The 19,269-nt window shown below is 40.6% G+C and overlaps 1 protein-coding gene across 7 annotated transcripts in view; it reads right to left on the bottom strand.

Moving 5' to 3' along the window:
• NFU1 (NFU1 iron-sulfur cluster scaffold) overlaps positions 3,112 to 19,269 on the bottom strand; it is a 43,818-nt gene continuing 27,660 nt past the window's right edge. For 3 of the 7 annotated variants that reach the window (NR_045631.2, XM_047443939.1, NM_015700.4), the window contains 3 exons: positions 13,384 to 13,444; positions 7,726 to 7,900; positions 3,112 to 3,652 (listed from right to left, as the gene is read on the bottom strand). Coding sequence is in view for 5 of the 7 variants with exons in the window: in XM_047443939.1 (XP_047299895.1) it covers positions 3,608 to 3,652; positions 7,726 to 7,900; positions 13,384 to 13,444 (281 nt within the window). In the remaining 2 variants the exon portion in view is untranslated. The remainder of the gene's footprint in view (positions 3,653 to 7,725; positions 7,901 to 13,383; positions 13,445 to 19,269) is intronic. The other 4 variants (NM_001374284.1, NM_001002755.4, NM_001002756.2 and 1 more) reach the window with 3 other exon arrangements.

The following is a 19,269-nucleotide window of genomic DNA, read 5'->3' on the forward strand; positions in this document are numbered from 1 at the left end:
ACTGAGCTATGATTGCACCACTGCAACTCCAGCCTGGGCAACAGAGTAAGACCCCATCTCTATTTTAAAAAGAAAAAAATAAAATAGATACAAAATATTTTATACATTTTGGGGGTTTCTTGTATTTTTGGTTTTTGTTTAATTTTTGTTCTGGCTAAACACAACTAATAGTGATTATTAGTCTTTCTTTGGGATTAGATAGGGAGAAATTCAGTATAAATATTCCAGAATAAAAACCATTACCTGATTAAACTTAACCTTTGAATAGTGGTTCAATTAATTAAAAAATACATGTTAATTTGTTGTTGTTGTTTTTGTTGTTTGACATGGCGTCTTGCTCTGTCACCGAGGCTGGAGTGCAGTTGCGTGATCTCGGCTCACTGCCACCTCTGCCTCCTGGGTTCCAGCGGTTCTCCTGCCTCTGCCTCCCGAGTATCTGGGATTACAGGCGCCCACCACCATGCCCAGCTAATTTTTGTATTTTTTTAGTAGAGACAGGGTTTTACCATGTTGGCCAGACTGGTCTCGAACTCCTGACCTCAGGTGATCCACCCGCCTCAGCCTCCCAAAGTGCTGGAATTACAGGTGTGAGCCACCGCGGCCGGCCTGTTTTCATTTTAAGGTTGACATTTGGCAGTTTACCACAAATGAAAAATCGGTAAAAGTATTTACCAAGTCCTCCATCATTTACCAGTCTCTCAGAATGCAATCAGCTTCAAGTTACAGAATACCTGATAACAATAGCTAAAACAAGAAAAACATTTATCTCACATCATATAAACTCTGAAAGTGAGTAATTCTTAGTCTGGCCAAAAGGCCAACAATGCCTCAAGGATCCAGACCCTTTTTTTTTTTTTCCTGAGACAGAGTCTTGCTGTCGCCCATGGTGGAGTGCAGTGATGTGATCTCGGCTCACTGCAACCTCCACCTTCCAGGCTCAAGTGATTCTCAAGCCTCAGACTCCCTAGTAGCTGGGACTACTAGGTGGCATGTGCCACTGCACCAGGCTAATTTTTGTGTTTTTAAGTAGAGATGGGGTTTCACCATGGTGGCCACACTGGTCTCAAACCCTTGGCCTCAAGTGATCTACCCGCCTGGGTGTCCCAAAGTGGTGGGATTACAGGTGTGAGCCACCGTGCAAGGCCAAGGATCCAGACCCTTTCTTTGCTCTTTGCTATTCTCAGTGGACCACCTTTTAGTCATGATTACAAGTTGACTGTCATTGCTTTGAACATCACACTCTACAGTGTACCAAGCAGGAAGAAAAGGAATGGATGGAGGAAAAAAAAAAGAGCCTTCTTTCCAGAGATTAACTCACATACACACTCTCTTAACTAGGAAAGACAATCTTTCCAGAATTCTCCAATAGACTTTCTCTTCCAGTTTACTGGCCAGAGCTAGGTCATATGGCTACCCACAGACTAATGACTGGAAAAGAAAAATGGAGTTAAAGTGACTGGTTTAATCATAACTATCCCCTGGGACTGAGGTGAGACCTACTGAGAGTGCCTTCCTTAACAAGAAGTGAGGGTGTATGTTGGGTAGGCAACCAAGAGTTTCTGTGGCACTCTCTATACTACCACTGCCTACTCATGCACCATTTTCACTTTATACTCAAGCCATACTTAGTTTCTTGAGGTTCCCAAATACATTTCACACTTACAATTCTGATTATACTGTTCTTATGCCTAGAATGTTCTTCCCACACCTTTCCTCCTTGTTCTTCATGGCTGTTGCTTTTGTAGAAAATCTTTCCTCTCTTCCTCTTTGGCCTCTCAATTGAATAATTTCCTGTTTTTTTGTTTGTTTGTTTGAGACAGACTCTCGCTCTGTCACCCAGGTTGGAGTGCAATGGCACGATCCCAGCTCACTGCAACCTCCGCCTCCCAGGTTCAAGGGATTTTCGTGCCTCATCCTCCTGAGTAGCTGGGATTACAGGCACATGCCACCTTGCCTGGCTAATTGTTGTATTTTTAGTAGAGACAAGGTTTCACCATTGGCCAGGCTGGTCTCGAATTCCTTACCTCAAGTGATCCACCCACCTCAGCCTCCCAAAGTGTTGGGATTACAGGCATGAGCCACTGCGCCAGGCCAATTTCCTCTCTTCTAATAAACTAATCCTCCATCCAATTCAGCCACTTATTTCATGGCCACATACAAGATCTGCCATTACTGGCATCTCATCCACGATGTCAATTTCCTGTAGCTTCAACTAAAGGGCAGGTTAAGTTGCCTTGCTTATGAAGCAATTCCCAGTGTCTAAATTAAATTCATACATGATATCTCAAGGAATGAATTCTCCAACCCTACTATTTGGTTCAGTGAACCAAAGGATAAAAGTAAAAACTTCAATTCCCAGCACTCACAACTGCTAGAGTTCTTCCTGTTTCCATCACTATCTTAATCTCCTTAATTTGAGGGACTAGAATTCCAGAGATGCAATGCATCACAACTATTTTTCCCATCTTTCCTTTCCCTGTATTTTCTGTTAACTGCAGTCTCTGAATTACTGTAGAAAAATGAGAGAGGAGGCTAAATCACTCTTTTGGCTACCTGAAAAAGCAGTACCCCTAGAGTACAAAAATAATGATGCACACTTCTGGCATGGTACAGATTTTGGATCTCTGAGTCAGAAGCCAGTGGGAGGACCAAAGCAGCTTCTTCTCTTTTCTTCAGCAATTCTGATTGATAAGGTAAAGGCTGGGCATGCTGAGGCAGTTTTTCTAATTTGGCCATCTCCATCTTAACCAATAGAAACTGTGTCCAGATTCTGGGAGTTAGTTTTCAAGTTTTTCACCTTTTTTTTTTTTTTTTTTTTTTTTTTTTTTGAGATGGAGTCTCGCTCCGTCCCCCAGGCTGGAGTGCAGTGGCGTGATCTCAGCTCACTGCCACCTCCGCCTCCCGGGTTCAAGCAGTTCTCCTGCCTCAGCCTCCTAAGTAGCTGGGATTACAGGCGCGTGCCTCCGCGCCCGGCTAATTTTTGTATTTTTAGTGGAGACGGGGTTTCACCATGTTGTTCAGGCTGGTCTCAAACTCCTGACCTCGTGATCTGCCCACCTCGGCCTCCCAAAGTGCTGGGATTATAGGCGTTAGCCACCATACCCGGACATTTTTGATTTCTTTTTTTTGGTCTTAAGCAGTTCTTTGCTACTTAATTGGGGGCTAGTAGCCAGATACCATTTTTAAAACAGACTTGTTTAGCTGTTTCTTAAGCTAAAAACTTCAGTAAAAATAGTTTTAGATATTTCACAAAAAGCTATTTTAGAATATTCTAAAAAGCATTCTGTTTCTTCCTGTATGGAAAAAAGTAAATAAATTAGATGGGGGGAAATGTATTTTAAACTCCTTCACACATATGCAAAGAAAGAGCCATGGGAAATGAGGGACAAAAATAAAAATATCCTTGGATAAAATCCACGTGTACAGAAGATGATTCAAGAGGTTATAAATAACTCATATGAGGTAAAGCAAACATGCAATATTTATATATCATTCTCTGAAGAGCATATTTTATTAATCTTCAAGTTCCTCAGCATATTAATAATAAAAACTTGATATATATTATCAACAAGTCTGACTGTTATGCCCAAAGAAAATCCAGATTATTTTAAGGTGAGTTTGCTTCTTTTTCATCTGATTCATCATCCATAACCTAAAACCAAAAAACAAAGACAATTTAAGAATTAAGAAAATGATTAGATTTTGCTGTTTTCCTGATTTTAATATTACTTCTTTACCTGATACACTCTATAATGAGGCATGACAAGCCAGTAAGAATAAATCTATCAACAGCCCCAAAGAACAAGGTTTGAATCATAACCCGGTATCCTAAAAACATAAAAGCAACCCCATCTCTACTGAAAATACAAAAAATTAGCCAGGCGGGCGCCTGTAGTCCCAGCTACTCGGGAGGCTGAGGCAGGAGGATGGCGTGAACCTGGGAAGCAGAGCTTGCAGTGAGCCGAGATCGCGCCACTGCACTCCAGCGTGGGCAACACAGCGAGACTCTGTCTCAAAAAAAAAATAAAATAAAATAAAAGCAAATTAAATATTTGGAAATTAATTAAAGCATTGATCACTTCTCCTTGTCTCAAAGAGGCTACCCATAGCAGAGTCTCAGCTGGGCAGAAAAGACTATAAATAATTAACTGGGGCCAGGCGCGGTGGCTCACGCCTGTAATCCCAGCACTTTGGGAGGCTGAGGCAGGCAGATCATGAGGGCAGAAGATCAAGACCATCCTGGCTAACACAGTGAAACCCCGTCTCTACTAAAAATACAAAAAATTAGCCGGTCGTGGTGGTGGGCGCCTGTAGTCCCAGGTACCCGGGAGACTAAGGCAGGAGAATGGCATGAACTGGGGAGGTGGAGGTTGCAGTGAGCCTAGTGCCTGGTGATAGAGCACTCCAGCTTGGTGATAGAGCAAGACTCCGTCTCAAAAAAAAAAAAACAATTTAACTGGTATTCTCTAGCCATAAGACTAATGTAAATGACTTTTTCTTTTTTTCAAAACCATCTTATTTACTTAAATATATTCTGTGAAGCTATACCAAATTGTTATTTTAAAAACATTTATTTTTATTAAAATGAATCCCCAAGGAAAGTGAAAAACAAAACAAAACAAAAAAACCCCACCATATTAGGAACTAATTATTTTAGTCTTACTGAGATAAAAGATCATTTTAAGCCTCAGGAAAATGTTACAACAGCTATTATCTTTCCATGAGTTAATGTATTACTAAGATAACAGACTAACTCCATTGGAGAAGGAAAAAGTTACATAAACCTAAGAATGTTTTTTTCTCCTCACCACACCTACTACAATTAGATGCCAATTCAAGTTTCTAATCTGAAGGCCAATTCATCACCCTACCCTGGACAATTGAATAAAAATGTTCCTCAGTCAATCCACCAAAGTATCAACTAACATAATTTTTTAAGGCATATAGATGATAATGGAACAAAGTAAGGTTTTTTTTTTTAAAAAAAATCTAGGCCAGGCACAGTGGCTCATGCCTGTAATCCCAGCACTTTGGGAGGCTGAGGCAGGTGGATCACCTGAGGTCAAGAGTTCAAGACCAGCCCGGTCAACATGGCGAAACCCCCATCTCTACTAAAAATATAAAAATTAGCCAGGCGTGGTGGCGCGCGCCTGTAATCCCAGCTACCTGGGAAGCTAAGGCAGGAGAATCATTTGAACTCGGGAGGTGGAGGCTGCAGTGAGCCAAGATCAAGCCATTGTACTCCAGCCTGGGCAACAAGAGTGAAACTACGTCTCAAAAAAAAAAAAAAAAAAAATCCAGATTCTGGCTCTGATCTGAGACAATCAATAGAAAAAGAATTCTTTCATAGGCTGTCTTTTTGGTTGAGTAAAAATTGGTATTTATTCCCAAGAAATTAATATTTTACATCCAATTTCAACAATACCCAATCCAAAAAATTTTGTCAACCAACTCATATTTTAGGCAGAATTATTCCTTAATTTGGAATAATATTCCCAAATACTTAATACAAAGCATGTATAGGACATTTGTAAGGCACACAGCTAGTTGTTGCAGAGGAACACAAAGACTTGGATATGATTTCAAGTCTCTTAGGGAGCTTCCACGTAAACATAAAGCTAAAACAGATACAGAAAGCTACATAAACATAAAGCAAAAACAGAAGCTTTGGACCTGTCAAAGAAGAACTTAATTCCAAGTGGGGGATGGATAAAAACTTCAAAGAGAAGATGTCATGTACTGGACCAAAACGATGGTGTGGAGGCTAAAGCAACTCCATCTTGGATGCTAATCTGCCACATTGACTACCCTCAGTTCTAGGAATGCCTCTAAGTTTTCTACTTAATTCTGCCTTTAGGTCAAAATAATCTTGATGTTATCCTAAACAAACACATACTTAGCATAAATCTTGCCCTTAAGCAAATTATAGGCTATTAGGCAAATAGCATTCTTGCCTTTTCCAGAGGGGCTGACTTCAATTGTCCTACACATATCTTCTGAAGCATGTATACCCATTCCTCCTGGTATATAAGCCCTGAGTCTAGCGGGTAACAATGCAGGAATCCATCATCTTGCAGCTGCCCGATAAATGGCTTCTGTTCCTCAGTCCCTATTAAATGTTTCTTTCTGACCAACTGGATTTGCCAGCCTCTGTCTTCAGCCTCTCAGCTCCCTAAGACTTTGGGGATAGGTCTATATAGACCTGCTCACTGTGGAACAGATGAATTTTAATACTACCCAAGGATGAGTGATTCCCAATGGAGCCCTTAAGGGCACAGAATTACCTGAGGTGGTCAGGCACGGTGGCTCATGCCTGTAATCCTAGCACTCTGGGAGGCCGAGGCGGGCAAATTGCCTGAGCTCAGGAGTTTGAAATCAGCCTGGGCAACATGATGAAACCCCGTCTCTACTAAAATACAAAATACAAAAAATGGTGGCATGTGCCTGTAATCCCAGCTACTCATGAGGCTGAGGGATGGGAACTGCTTCAACCTGGGAGGTGGAGGTTGCAGTGAGCCGAGATAGCGTGTCACTGCACTCCAGCCTGGGCAACAGAACAAGATTCTGTCTCCAAAAAAAAAAAAAAAAAGAATGAATTACCTGAAATTCTGTGGGTTGGAAATTTCTAATTTCCACACATCCCTTCACTCCTTGATAATCTCTCTCCATAAGGCCATGCTTTTTGGTTGAGAATCACTGCAGTGAGACTCATTATTACTGATGACAAGGTGCTGTGTTATACTCCTTAGGTATGTTGGCAAAAAAAAAAATGTTGATATTGTGCTACACGTAAAGCTCTAGAATTCTACTCAGTATAACAACAAACTATGATTTCTTAATGGGCTTCTTGCTTGCATATTTAAGAATACATAGATTAGGCCAGTTGTGTTAATCCTTAATCCCAGCATTTTGGGAGGATCACCTGAGGCCAGGAATTCAAGACCAACTTGGGCAACATAGCAAGACCCCGTCTCTACAAAAAAAAAAAAAAAAAAATTGGTAAATATGATGTAGTAGAGTTCTTCCACTAAAGATTTCTAAATCTCATCTATAAAACACTGTGTTACATTTTAAACCTTTTTCATAATTTTTGTGCAATCAGGGCAGCAATATGCCCTCTGAGTCTCTGTAGCCTTATGTGCAAAATGGGAATGACTTAATGCACTGTGTCATTAGAAGATGAAATGAGCAAAAATGCCTGGCACATAGTAGGTTCTCATAACACTAAAGTTACTTCATTTTTTTTTTTTTTTGACGGAGTTTCGCTTTTGTTGCCCAGGCTGGAGTGCAATGGCGCGATCTCGGCTCACCGCAACCTCCGCCTCCCAGGTTCAAGCAATTCTCCTGCCTCAGCCTCCCAAGTAGCTGGGATTACAGGCGTCTGCCACCATGCCCAGCTAATTTTGTATTTTTAGTAGAGACGGGGTTTTCTCCATGTTGGTCAGGCTGGTCTGGAACTCCCAACCTCAGGTGATCCACCCACCTCAGCCTCCCAAAGTGCTGGGATTATAGGTTTGAGCCACTGCGCCCAGCCCAAAGTTACTTCTAAAATAAGAGACTTCAAGTCTGATAAAAATTGCAACACAAAAATCCAGCCCTTGAAGAAAAAGCTAGGTCATGAACTTCTTTTCAAATACTTGCCTTAACATCTATTTCCAGCCTTTGTATCTACAAAGAAAAAGAAAAAATGAAAAAAATCTAGACTGTCATATAATATTGGCATACCTGTTCTACGCCTTCTACCTCCGGAATATAAAACTGCAGCATGTTCTGAATTCCATTTTTCAGAGTAATGATTGAACTAGGGCAGCTGGTACAAGAACCCTGGAGTTTCAGCTGTACAATGCCATCTTCAAAGCCTTTGTAGATTACATCCCCTCCATCTTCCTGCACAGTTGGCCTGTGAGGTCAAAGAATATTTATGACATATTCTTTAAAATACAAGTTTTCATTGAAAAAATTTAATACAGCTCAGAGCTTAAATTTTATATTAGTAAAATTCACAAAGTTAGAGCTACTTTTATAATACAGAATAATAACTGTGGCTAAGTTTTATTTAGAATTAAATTTTTTTTTTTTACTCTCAGGTAAAATACCAAAATTCACTCATACAAATATTTCCTCCGCTTACCGCATTTGATCTTGCTTGCTAATATCTTTTTAAGGCTGGGCATGGTGGCTCACACCTATATTCCCAGCAATTTGAGAGGCCAAGGTAGGAGGACTGCTTGAGCCCAGGAGTTGGAAGCTGCAGTGAGCTATTATCACACCAGTGCACTCCAGCTTGGGTGACACAGCGAGACCCTGTCTCTAAAGAAATTTTTTTTAAATAAAACAATATTTTACAGCACTTAAGATTTCAAATTTCCTAATAATTATTGTGATTACCTAAAATATACTCAGTCACTTCTTTTGAGTGAAGGAAAAGGGAGACTGTCACATGCTGGCTTCATTTTCAGGTAAACTTTTCATTGAAATACAACATTAATACAGAAAAATGCTTAAATCATGTATGCACAGTTCACTAAGTTTTCACAAAGTGAACACACATTTATAACCACCCAAACCAAGAAACAACACCAAACCTCCAGAAGTCCCCTTTGGGCTTCCTTCCAATCACTCCCCACAACAAAAATGCTGCCATTATCCTAATTCATATCACCACTGATGAGTTTTGCCAGTCTCTGAACTTTATAATTTACAAATATAAATTCTATTTATAAATCACGTAGAATTACTCTTTTGTATCTGGCTTCCTATGCTCTTTGTGAGATTCACCTATGTTGCTGAGTATAGTACTAGGTCATTTACTCTCACTGCTGCATAGTATTCCATTAAGCAAATATACCAGAATTTATTTATCCATTCTACTGTTGATAGACATTTAGGTTAACATTAGGTTTTGGCTTTTACAAATAGTGCAGTTATAAAGATTCTTAGAAATGTCTTTTGGTATGCATATATATTACTACTGGGAATATACCTGAAAGTGAAATTGCTGAATAAAGAGTATGAATATGTTGAGATTTAATAAATACTGCCATATAGTTTTCCAGTTATATAAACTTACATTCCCACCAGCAGTGTATGAGAGTTTCTGTTGCTCCACATCCTCACCAACAATTGGTGTTGTCAGTCTTAATAGTTTTAACTATTCTACTGGATTTGTACAAATATTTAATTATGGTTTGAATATTCACAATAACTAATGAGGTTAAGCATTTTTTCATGTTTAGTGGCTACTTGATTATCTTTTTTCCTTTTTTTTTTTTGGAGACAGAGTCTCACTCTGTTGCCCAGGCTGGAGTGCAATGGCACGATCTCAGCTCACTGCAACTTCCGCCTCCCGGGTACAGGTGATTCTCCTGCCTCAGACTCCCAGATAGCTGGGATCACAGGCATGCACCAATACCCCCAGCTAATTTTTTGTATTTTTAGTAGAGACCATGTTTCACCATGTTGGCCAAGCTGATCTTGAACTCCTGACCTCAGGTGATCCGCTCACCTCAGCCTCCCAAAGTGCCGGGATTATGGGTGTCAGCCACTGCGCCCAGCCACTATTTGATCATCTTTTGCGAAGTACCTGCTCCAGTGTCTGATTGTCTTTTTCTTACCAATTTGTACAAGTTATTTATGTATTGTCATATAAACACTGTAAATATCTTCTAATCTGTACCCTGCCTTTTGACTGTAAATGGCACTTTTCAACAGTCTCGCTTTGTCACATAGGCTGGAATACAGTGGCATGATCACAGCTCACTCACTGCTACCTAAAACTCCTAAGCTCAAGGGAGCCTCCCCTGCCTCAGCCTTTTAAGTAGCTGGAATTACAGGCACAAGCCACTGTGCCCAGCCAATGGCATCTTCTGATGAAGAGACAGTCACAATTTTACTGTAGTCCAATTTATATGTATTTTCCTTGATTTTTATCTGATATATATATACATATATTTATTTTTTAAGACGGAGTTTCGCTCTTGTTGCCCAGGCTGGAGTGCAATGGCTCGATCTCGGCTCACTGTAACCTCCGCCTCCCGGGTTCAAGGGATTCTCCTGCCTCAGCCTCCCGAGTAGCTGGGATTACAGGTGCCCGCCACCATGCGTGGCTAATTTTTTATTTTTTTAGTAGACACAAGGTTTCTCCATGTTGGTCAGGGTGGTCTCGAACTCCCAACCTCAGATGATCCATTCACCTCGGCCTCTCAAAGTGCTGGGATTACAGGTGTAAGCCACCGCGCCCGGTCTTTATCTGATTTCTTGTGTCCCGTTGGGGAAAAAAAAAAAAATTGCCTACCCGAAGGTCATACAAATATTCTATTTCTTTCCTTTTCTCTTCTCTTTTCTTTTCCCCTCCCTCCCTCCTTCCTTCCTTCACTTCCTTCCTCCCTCCCTCTCTCTTTCTTTCTCTTTCTCTCTTTCTTTCATTGTAGAGACGGGGTCTCACTATGTTGCCCAGGCTGGTCTCAAACTCCTGGGCTCAAGCAATCTGCCACCTTGGCCTCCCAAAATGCTAGGATTACAGGCATTAGCCGCCATGCCTGGCCCCTATATCTCTTCTAAGCAGTCTATAGTTGATTTTGTTTTTTTGTTTTTTCACATCCAATTTGACAATCTTATTTTTGTTCATCAAACTACTGTCATTTAAATGCCAACACTTTTGAGTTTATATTACCATTTACTGTTTCCTATTTTGCATTGTTTCAGATTGATGAATTATTTTTTATTCTATTTCTCCCCTCCGGAGGTTTGATTCATTTTTTTTTTTCTGGTGAGACAGGGTCTTGTTCTATCTCCTTGACCAGAGTGCAATGGTGTGATCACAGCCCACTGCAGCCTCAATCTCCCGGGCTCAAGCAATCTTCCCGCCTCAGGAACAGCTGAGACTACAGGTGCACACCACCACACCCAGCTAATTTTTTAATTTTTTGTAGAGACAAGGTCTCACTATGTTGCCAGGGTGGTCTCTAACTTCTGAGCTCAAGCAATCCTCCTACCTCAGCCTCCCAAAGTGCTGGAATTATAGGTGTGAGCACCGTGCCCACCATCTCATGCTTCTTTCCCATATCTTCTATTCTCTTCTCTCCCTGTGCTTCAGGCTGAATATTTTCTACTGACTTAAATTCCAGTATACTAATCTTCTCTTCAACTATGTCCAATCTAATGAGTTCTTAAGTTCAGTTATTATAATTTTAGTTCCAGGGTTACTTTTTTTTTTTTTGAGATAGAGTCTCACTCTGTCGCCCAGGCTGGAGTGCAGTGGTGCAATCTTGGGTCACTGCAAGCTCCGCCTCCCAGGTTCACGCCATTCTCCTGCCTCAGCCTCCCGAGTAGCTGGGACTACAGGCCCCCGCCACCATGCCCGGCTAATTTTTTGTATTTTTAATAGAGACAGGGTTTCACTGTGTTAGCCAGGATGGTCTCAATCTCCTGACCTCATGATCCACCCACCTCGGCCTCCCAAAGTGCTGGGATTACAGGCGTGAGGCACCGCACCCGGCCTCCAATTAATTATTCTTAATTCACAAAAATTATAGATATTTCCATGTACAACATGATGTTTTGAAATATGTAGGCCGGGAGCGGTGACCCACGCCTGTAATCCCGGCACTTTGGGAGGCCGAGGAGGGTAGATCACCTGAGGTCAGGAGGTCGTGACCAACCTGGCCAACACGGTGAAACCCTGTCTCTACTAAAACTACAAAAATTAGCTGGGTGTGGTGGTACATGCCTGTAATCCCAGCTACTCAGGAGGCTGAGGCAGGAGAATCACTTGAACCTGGGAGGCAGAGGTTGCAGTGAGCTGATATCGTGCAGCACTCCAGCCTGGGTGACAGAGCAAGACTCTGTCTCAAAAAAAAAATATCTGTATACACCATGGAATGGCTAAATCAAGCTAATTAACATATACTAACATATACATTACCTCGCATACTTATTTTTTGTGTCAAGAACACTTAATAACTACTATCTTAGCAAATTTTTTTTTTTTTTTTTTTTTTTGAGAAAGAGTTTTGCTCGTCGCCCAGGCTGGAGTGCAATGGCATAATCTTGGCTGACTGCAACCTCCGCCTCCAGGGTTCAAGTGATTCTCCTACCTCGGTCTCCCTAGTAGCTGGGATTACAGATGCCCACCACCACGCCTGGCTAATTTTTGTATTCTTAGTAGAGATGGGGTTTCAACATGTTGGCCAGGCTGGTCTTGAACTCCTGATCTTAGGTGATCCACCTACCTCCGCCTCCCAAACAGCTGGGATTACAAGCGTGAGCCACCACACCCAGCCACAATTTTCAAGAATACAATACATTGTTACTAACTATAGGCTTACTTGGCTGGGCGCAGTGGCTCATGTCTGTAATCCCAGCACTTTGAGAAGTTGAGGTGGGCGGATCACAAGGTCAGGAGTTCAAGACCAGCCTGGCCAACATGGTGAAACCCTGTCTCTTCCAAAAATACAAAAATTAGCTGGGTGTGGTGGCCTGTGCCTGTAATCCCAGCTACTCAGGAGGCTGAATCTGGAGAACCGCTTGAACCCGGGAGGCGAGGCTGTAGTGAGCTGAGATTGCATGCCAGCCTGGGTGACAGAGCAAGACTCCGTCTTAAAAAAAAACCAAAAACTATAGGCTTACTTTTCTTAACTTCCCTGCTCTCTAGGATCTTGGTCCTTGAAATCAAGATTTCATTGGTAACCCAGAATTTTAATTTTTGTCTTCCCATCTAAACAAATTTTCTGAAAGCCCAGTGGTTTCTCTGATTCTTGGCAGCTGCCCTCTGCCCAGCTTCTTCTACCCTAGCTATGTAGCAAGGAACAGCAAATGCCTGAAGGGAAAACTCAGTGAGCTTCCCTTCTCTCCAGGATCTTGGCACCTCACATTTTGCTTGCTCTGGCAGCTATCTAATGCTTTCAAACAAATTCTTTTTATTGTACTTTATCCAGCTTTTCTGGGAGTTCTCAGCATGACTATTGGTCTGCTACAAGCAAAAGTAGAAGCCTGCTGTTCTCCACTCACTTAACATTTATTCTGTATGGGCAATATACTGAAAATAGGTACTCATTCTCTCTTCACAACCTTGCCAAACATTAAGTCTTTTTTTTTTCTTTTTAAGAAATTTGGTATTATAACAATATCAAATCTAAATTGAGACTGTGAAGAATACATTTCTTCATTGAATATGTTTAAATAAATTGGATGTTTTAAAATTTTGAGTAAATGTAGAGAAGATACAGGCTTTAAATTCAATTGTCACGGCTACCTGTTGTGGTTTACATTAACTTGCACTTATTTTGAAAATCTACTATAATCTCATGGCCAACTAAAACTATATTGCTATAATGAAAAATGCCTCCAAAGCACTTGAATTCAGGTAGAGAGAGGAGCACGTACCGTATTCTAGTATCTAACAATTCCTTAATCATTGCCACAACTTCATCATCTTCTTCAGATCCTAGAAATAATTACATATAAAAACATCAAGAGTAGAAATTTTATAGCCATGCAAGTACGAGTATTAAAACAGAATGATTTTAACTACATGGTTCATTAAAAACATAAAACTATAGAAAGAACATGTAACTTGGTATGGAGATATATTTTGGGAAATTGATGACAGAAACATTCATTTGATTATCTGAAGAAAAATTAGGGAATACCAATCAACTCAACATCTGGTGATAAAGATGAGTACACTAAAACATCTTGATATGCTAATGATGTTAGGGTATGAAATTTTAAGCCAGTAAATATGCAGACATTCTCTGTTCTCAAGGATTGAAAGTATCAGAGAAAAGAAACTGATTTTGATGGAAACTTTGAGACAAAAAGGCACACCTACTTTGTAAGTTAAGTTACATCTTCAGTTTCTCAATTTACTGGTTTTCAAAATGCCAGCCATACTAAATATAGATGTAAGCCTTCTGGAAATTTCTGAAATGTTCTTTTATTTTTCTTCTTGAGACAGCGTTTCACTCTGTTGCCCAGTGCGGAGTGCAGTGGGGTGATCACAGCTCACTGCAGCCTCAACCTCCTGGGCTCAAGCAGTCCTCCTGCCTCAGCCTCCCAAGTAGTTTGGGACCACAGGTGTGAGCCACCACACCCAGGCAATTTTTTTATTTTCTGTAGAGATGGGGCCTCGCCATGTTGCTGATATGGTTTGGCTGTGTCCCCAACCAAATCTCATCTTGAACTTCAGTTCCCATAATCCCTATGTGTTGTGGGAGGGAGCTGGTGGGAGGTAACTGAATCATGGGGGTAGTTACCCTCATGCTGTTCTCGTGATAGTGAGTGAGTTCTCACGAGATCTGATCGTTTTATAAGGAACTTTTCTCCCTTTTGCTTGGCACTTCTTCTTGTTGCCGTCATGTGAAGACTCGCGTGTTTGCTTCCCCTTCCGCCATGATTGTAACTTTCCTAAGGCCTCCCCAGCTATGCTGAACTGTGAGTCAATTAAACCTCTTTCCTTTATAAATTGCCCAGTCTCAGGTATGTCTTTATCAGCAGCGTGAGAACAGACTAATCCGGTTGCCCAAGATGATCTTCAACTCCTGGGCTCAAGTGATCCTTCTACCTTGGCCCCTCAAAGTACTGAGATTACAGGCATGAGCCATGCCTGGCCTCTGAAATGTTCTACAAATCTTCTGAGCACAAAGTTAGCCTTTGAGAAAACCAAAAATATGGAGATTTCATATTACGTTATAACAAACACTAGATTCTGGCAACCCCTAAAATTAAATTATATTAACATTGAGTTTTTTAAGAAAATAAATAAAACATGGCTCATGCCTGTAATCCCAGCACTTTGGGAGGCTGAGGTAGGCACATCACTTGAGGTCAGGAGTTCCAGACCAGCCTGGCCAATAGGGCAAAACCCTGTCTTTACTAAAAATACAAAAATTAGCCGGGTGTGGTGGTAGGTGCCTGTAATCCCAGCTACTCGGTAGGCTGACACGAGAATCACTTGAACCCAGATGGCGGAGGTTGAAGTGAGCTAAGATCGCACCACTGTATTCCAGCCTGGCTAACAGAGCAAGACTCTATCTCAAAAAAAAAAAAAAAAAGAAAAGAAAAAGAAAAAAAGGAAAAGAAAACACACAAAAGGGCTGGGCGCAGTGGTTCCCCCTATAACCCTAGCACTTTGGGAGGCTGAGGCAGACGCGTCACCTGAGGTCAGGAGTTTGAGACCAGCCTGGCCAACATGGTAAAACCCTGTCTCTACTAAAAATACAAAAATTAGCTGGATGTGGTGGCACACGCCTGTAATCTCAGTTACTTGGGAGGCTGAGGCAGGAGAATTGCTTGAACCCAGGAGGTGGAGGTGGCAGTGAGCCGAGATCGCACCACCGCACTCCAGCCTGGGCAACAGAGTGAGACCCCACCTCAAAAAAAAAAAAAAAATAGATAATTAAAAATAAATAAATTTGTTGGGGGAAAAGAAGCACAAAAGCTAAAACTGTCTTAGATCAATAAACCTAAATTCTACTTCCCCACCATCCCTTCCATAGACAATAACTATCATTTTAGTTTATATCTTCCCAGCACGTGTTTACATTTACATGTATAAATTAACACAAATGAGATCATACCATACATACTATTCTATATCTTGCTCTTTTCTGTGTAATATATCTTGAAGGTCTTTCCCCATTAGCATATACAAATATGCCTCAATATTTAAAACTGGTACACAGTAACTTTTATATAGATTTGTCTTTGCCAGTTTCTTCATTATTTCAGTTGTTTATACAGTTTGCTGCTATTTCTAACAATCCCGCAACATATTTGCTTATATAAATATATATCAAAAGGCTGGGCTCAGTGGCTCACACCTGTAATCCCAGCACTTTGGGAGGCCAAGGTGGGCAGATCACTTGAGGTCAGGAGTTTTAGACCAGCCTGGCCAACATGGTGAAATCCCGTCTCTACTAAAAATACAGAAATTAGCCGGGAGTGGTGGTGGGTGTCTGTAATCCCAGCTACTCCAGAGGCTGAGGCAGGAGAATCACTTGAACCCGGGAGGCGGAGGTTGCAGTGAGCTGAGATCACGCCACTGCACTCCAGCCTGGGTGACAGTGAAACACCGTCTCAAAAAAATATAAAATTTTATATATATATATATATATATATATATATATATATACACACACACATACATACATCAATGTACTATTGCAATTATATTTATGAGATAAATTCCTACTGGTGGGATATTTGTGTAAACAGGCTTGTGCTTTTTTTTTTTTTTTTTTTTTTTGACAGAGTTTCACTCTTTTACCTCAGCTCACTGCAACCTCCATCTCTTGGGTTCAAGCAATTCTCCTGCCTCAGCCTCCTAAGTAGTTGGAATTACAGGTGCCTGCCACCACACCTGGCTAATTTTTTTGTATTTTTAGTAGAGACGGGGTTACACCATGTTGGCCAGGCCGTTCTTGAACTCCTGACCTCAGGTGATCCACCTGCCTCGGCCTCCCAAAGTGCTGGGATTACAGGCGTTAGCCACCGCACCCAACCTAGCTTGTGCATTTTTAATGTTAGTAGATACAAATTACTCTAAAAAGTTATAAGGTTTACATATGGATCCATAAAGAATACATGTAACTGTTTCATGTAGTACTAAAAATTTTCATAAATGATACATTTATAAATGTACATACATTTGAATTTTCCTTTTTTACTTAATATTTTCTTTTTTATGTTTCTATGTTGGTATCTCCCAATCTAGTTCATTCCTTTTAACTGCTGGTATAGTTAAAAAATATTTCAGTGAACATGTTTCTACATGTTGCCTTGTGCATATCTCTAAGACTCAAGACATATATCTAAAAATATACCTGTATCACCTAAAGATAATTATACAAATGTTTCTGCATGTCATAGTCTATTTAGTGTTGCTATAAAGGAATACCTGAGACTGTGCAATTTACAAAGAAAAAAATGTTTATTTGGTTGATTCTGATGTCTAGAAAAGTTGAAGACTTGGCATCTGGTGAGGACCTCAAGCTGCTTACCCCCATGGAAGAAGAAGGGGAGCTGGCCCATGCAGAGATCACATGGTGAGACAGGAAGGAGATGTTGTTACTGGGACTCTTCTTAGCACTCAGCTCTCAAAAGAACTAATAGAGTAAGAACTCACTCCCCTCCCCTCATACCTCCGGCTCTTCGAGAGGGCATTCATCTACTATTGAGGGATCCATCCCCATGACCCACTCACCTCCCATTAGACTCCACCTCCAACACTGGGGATCAAATTTCAGCATGATATTTGGAGGGGACAAGTGTCCAAACTATAGCAGTGTATATATGTGTATATGCACATATAAACGTTCGGTTTTTGTAGTCAATGCTTATTAACATTGATGAACTACTAGAACTAATGAGTGCTAACCTTGACGGATATAAGATCAATATACAAAAATCAACAGTATTCCAATACCCAACACCCCAAATTAGAAAACATTATTTTAAAACAGATACAGGGTCGAGTGAGGTGGTTCACGCCCATAATCCCACCACTTTGACAGGCCAAGGTGGGCGGATCACCTGAGGTCAGGAGTTCTAGAGCAGCCTGGCCAACATGGTGAAACCCTATCTCTACTAAAAATACAAAAATCAGTCGGGCATGGTGTTTGGCGCCTGTAATCCCAGCTGCTCAGGTGGCTGAGGCAGGAGAATCGCTTGAACCTGGGAGGTGGAGGTTGCAGTGAGCCGAGATCGCACCATTGCTCTCCAGCCTGGGCAACAAAGCAAGACCCTGTCTCAAAAAAAACCCAAAAAACAGATACAGGCAGCACAGTGTAGTGGTTAAGAGCATGAACGCTGGAGGCAGATTGCCCAAAGTTCTTATCTATCTCTGCCACTTACTACCTGTGTGACCTTGAGCAAATTACTCAACCATTCAGTGCCTCAGTTTTCTCATGTGTGAAATGTGGTAACAGTTCCTATCTGATAAGGTTATTTTAAGAATTAAGTGAGTTTATACTTGTAAAGTGCTTAGAATTGTGCCTGAAATACAGTAATCAGTATGTCTAAGTGCTTACTAAACAAAAGAAGAACGCTTTATGATAACAAAACCTATATAGTACCTAGAACTAACATGAGCTCATACCAAGAAAAGAACATAAGAGAAGTCTCACATAAATGGGAAAATTTGGGGATGAAAAAATATCAATGTTGAAGAAATGTTAATTCTCCCAAATTTAATCTGTAAATTTAATGCAACTTCAACCAAACTCTTGACATGGTTTTTTAGAGACTTTACAAGATGGTCATTAAATTTACAAGGAAGAATAAAGTGAGCAGACTACCAGAAAGTTTTTTTTAATTGAGGAACTTTTTCTTCCAGATATTATCATATACTATACTAATTGTTACAGAGATATTATAATTAAAACTCCATATGTTATTAAAACAGGAAGGGGGGCAAAAAGACCACAGGGACAAAAAACATCTTAGAAAAAGACCCATGTATAATATTATAAATTCATGAGGAAAGACTGGGATAATTGATTACCTATGTAGAAAAAGATAAAATTATTATAAACTATATAGAAAAACAAATCCCACAGTGATTAAATATGTAAGTGTAAAAAATAAAACTTTAAAAAACAAAAATACATATACACATACACATATGACAGTATCTTTGTGATACTGGAGAAAGGAAAAACTTCATCAACAACAAATACAACAGTATCAGCAAATACTTATGGAGCTTCATGTACAATCACTCTTCCAAGTGCTTTACACTAAATAACTTACTAAAACAAGGTACAAAAGGCATAAACCACAAAGGAAAAAGATGAACTAATGTAACCACATTAAAATGAAAATTTTCTGTATGACAAAAGACATCATAAACAAAATGAAAAGTTAAGTCACAGTTAGGGAGATATCATTTGCTAAGAAAATACCTAACAAAGAATTAATATTCAGAATATTTATATATATACAGAGAGAATGAGACTTTTTATTTTTTTTTAAGAGATGTGGTCTAGTTCTATCACCCAAGATGGAGTGTGGTGGCGTGAACATGGCTCACTACAGCCTCAGCCTCCTGGGCTCAAGCGATCCTCCCACCTCAGCTTGTCAAGTAGGTGGGACTACATGCACGCATCACCATGCCCAGCTAATTTTTGTATTTTTTCGTAAACACAGGGTTTTGCCATATTGCCCAGGCTAGTCTCAAGTTTCTGAGCTCACACAATCTGCTGCCTTCACCTCCCCAAGTGCTGGGATCACAGGTGTGGGGCGTGGTGTCCAGCCCAGAATATTTTTTAA

The sequence above is a fragment of the Homo sapiens genome, chromosome 2 (assembly GCF_000001405.40).
Source record: "Homo sapiens chromosome 2, GRCh38.p14 Primary Assembly".
Classification (NCBI taxonomy): domain Eukaryota; kingdom Metazoa; phylum Chordata; class Mammalia; order Primates; family Hominidae; genus Homo; species Homo sapiens.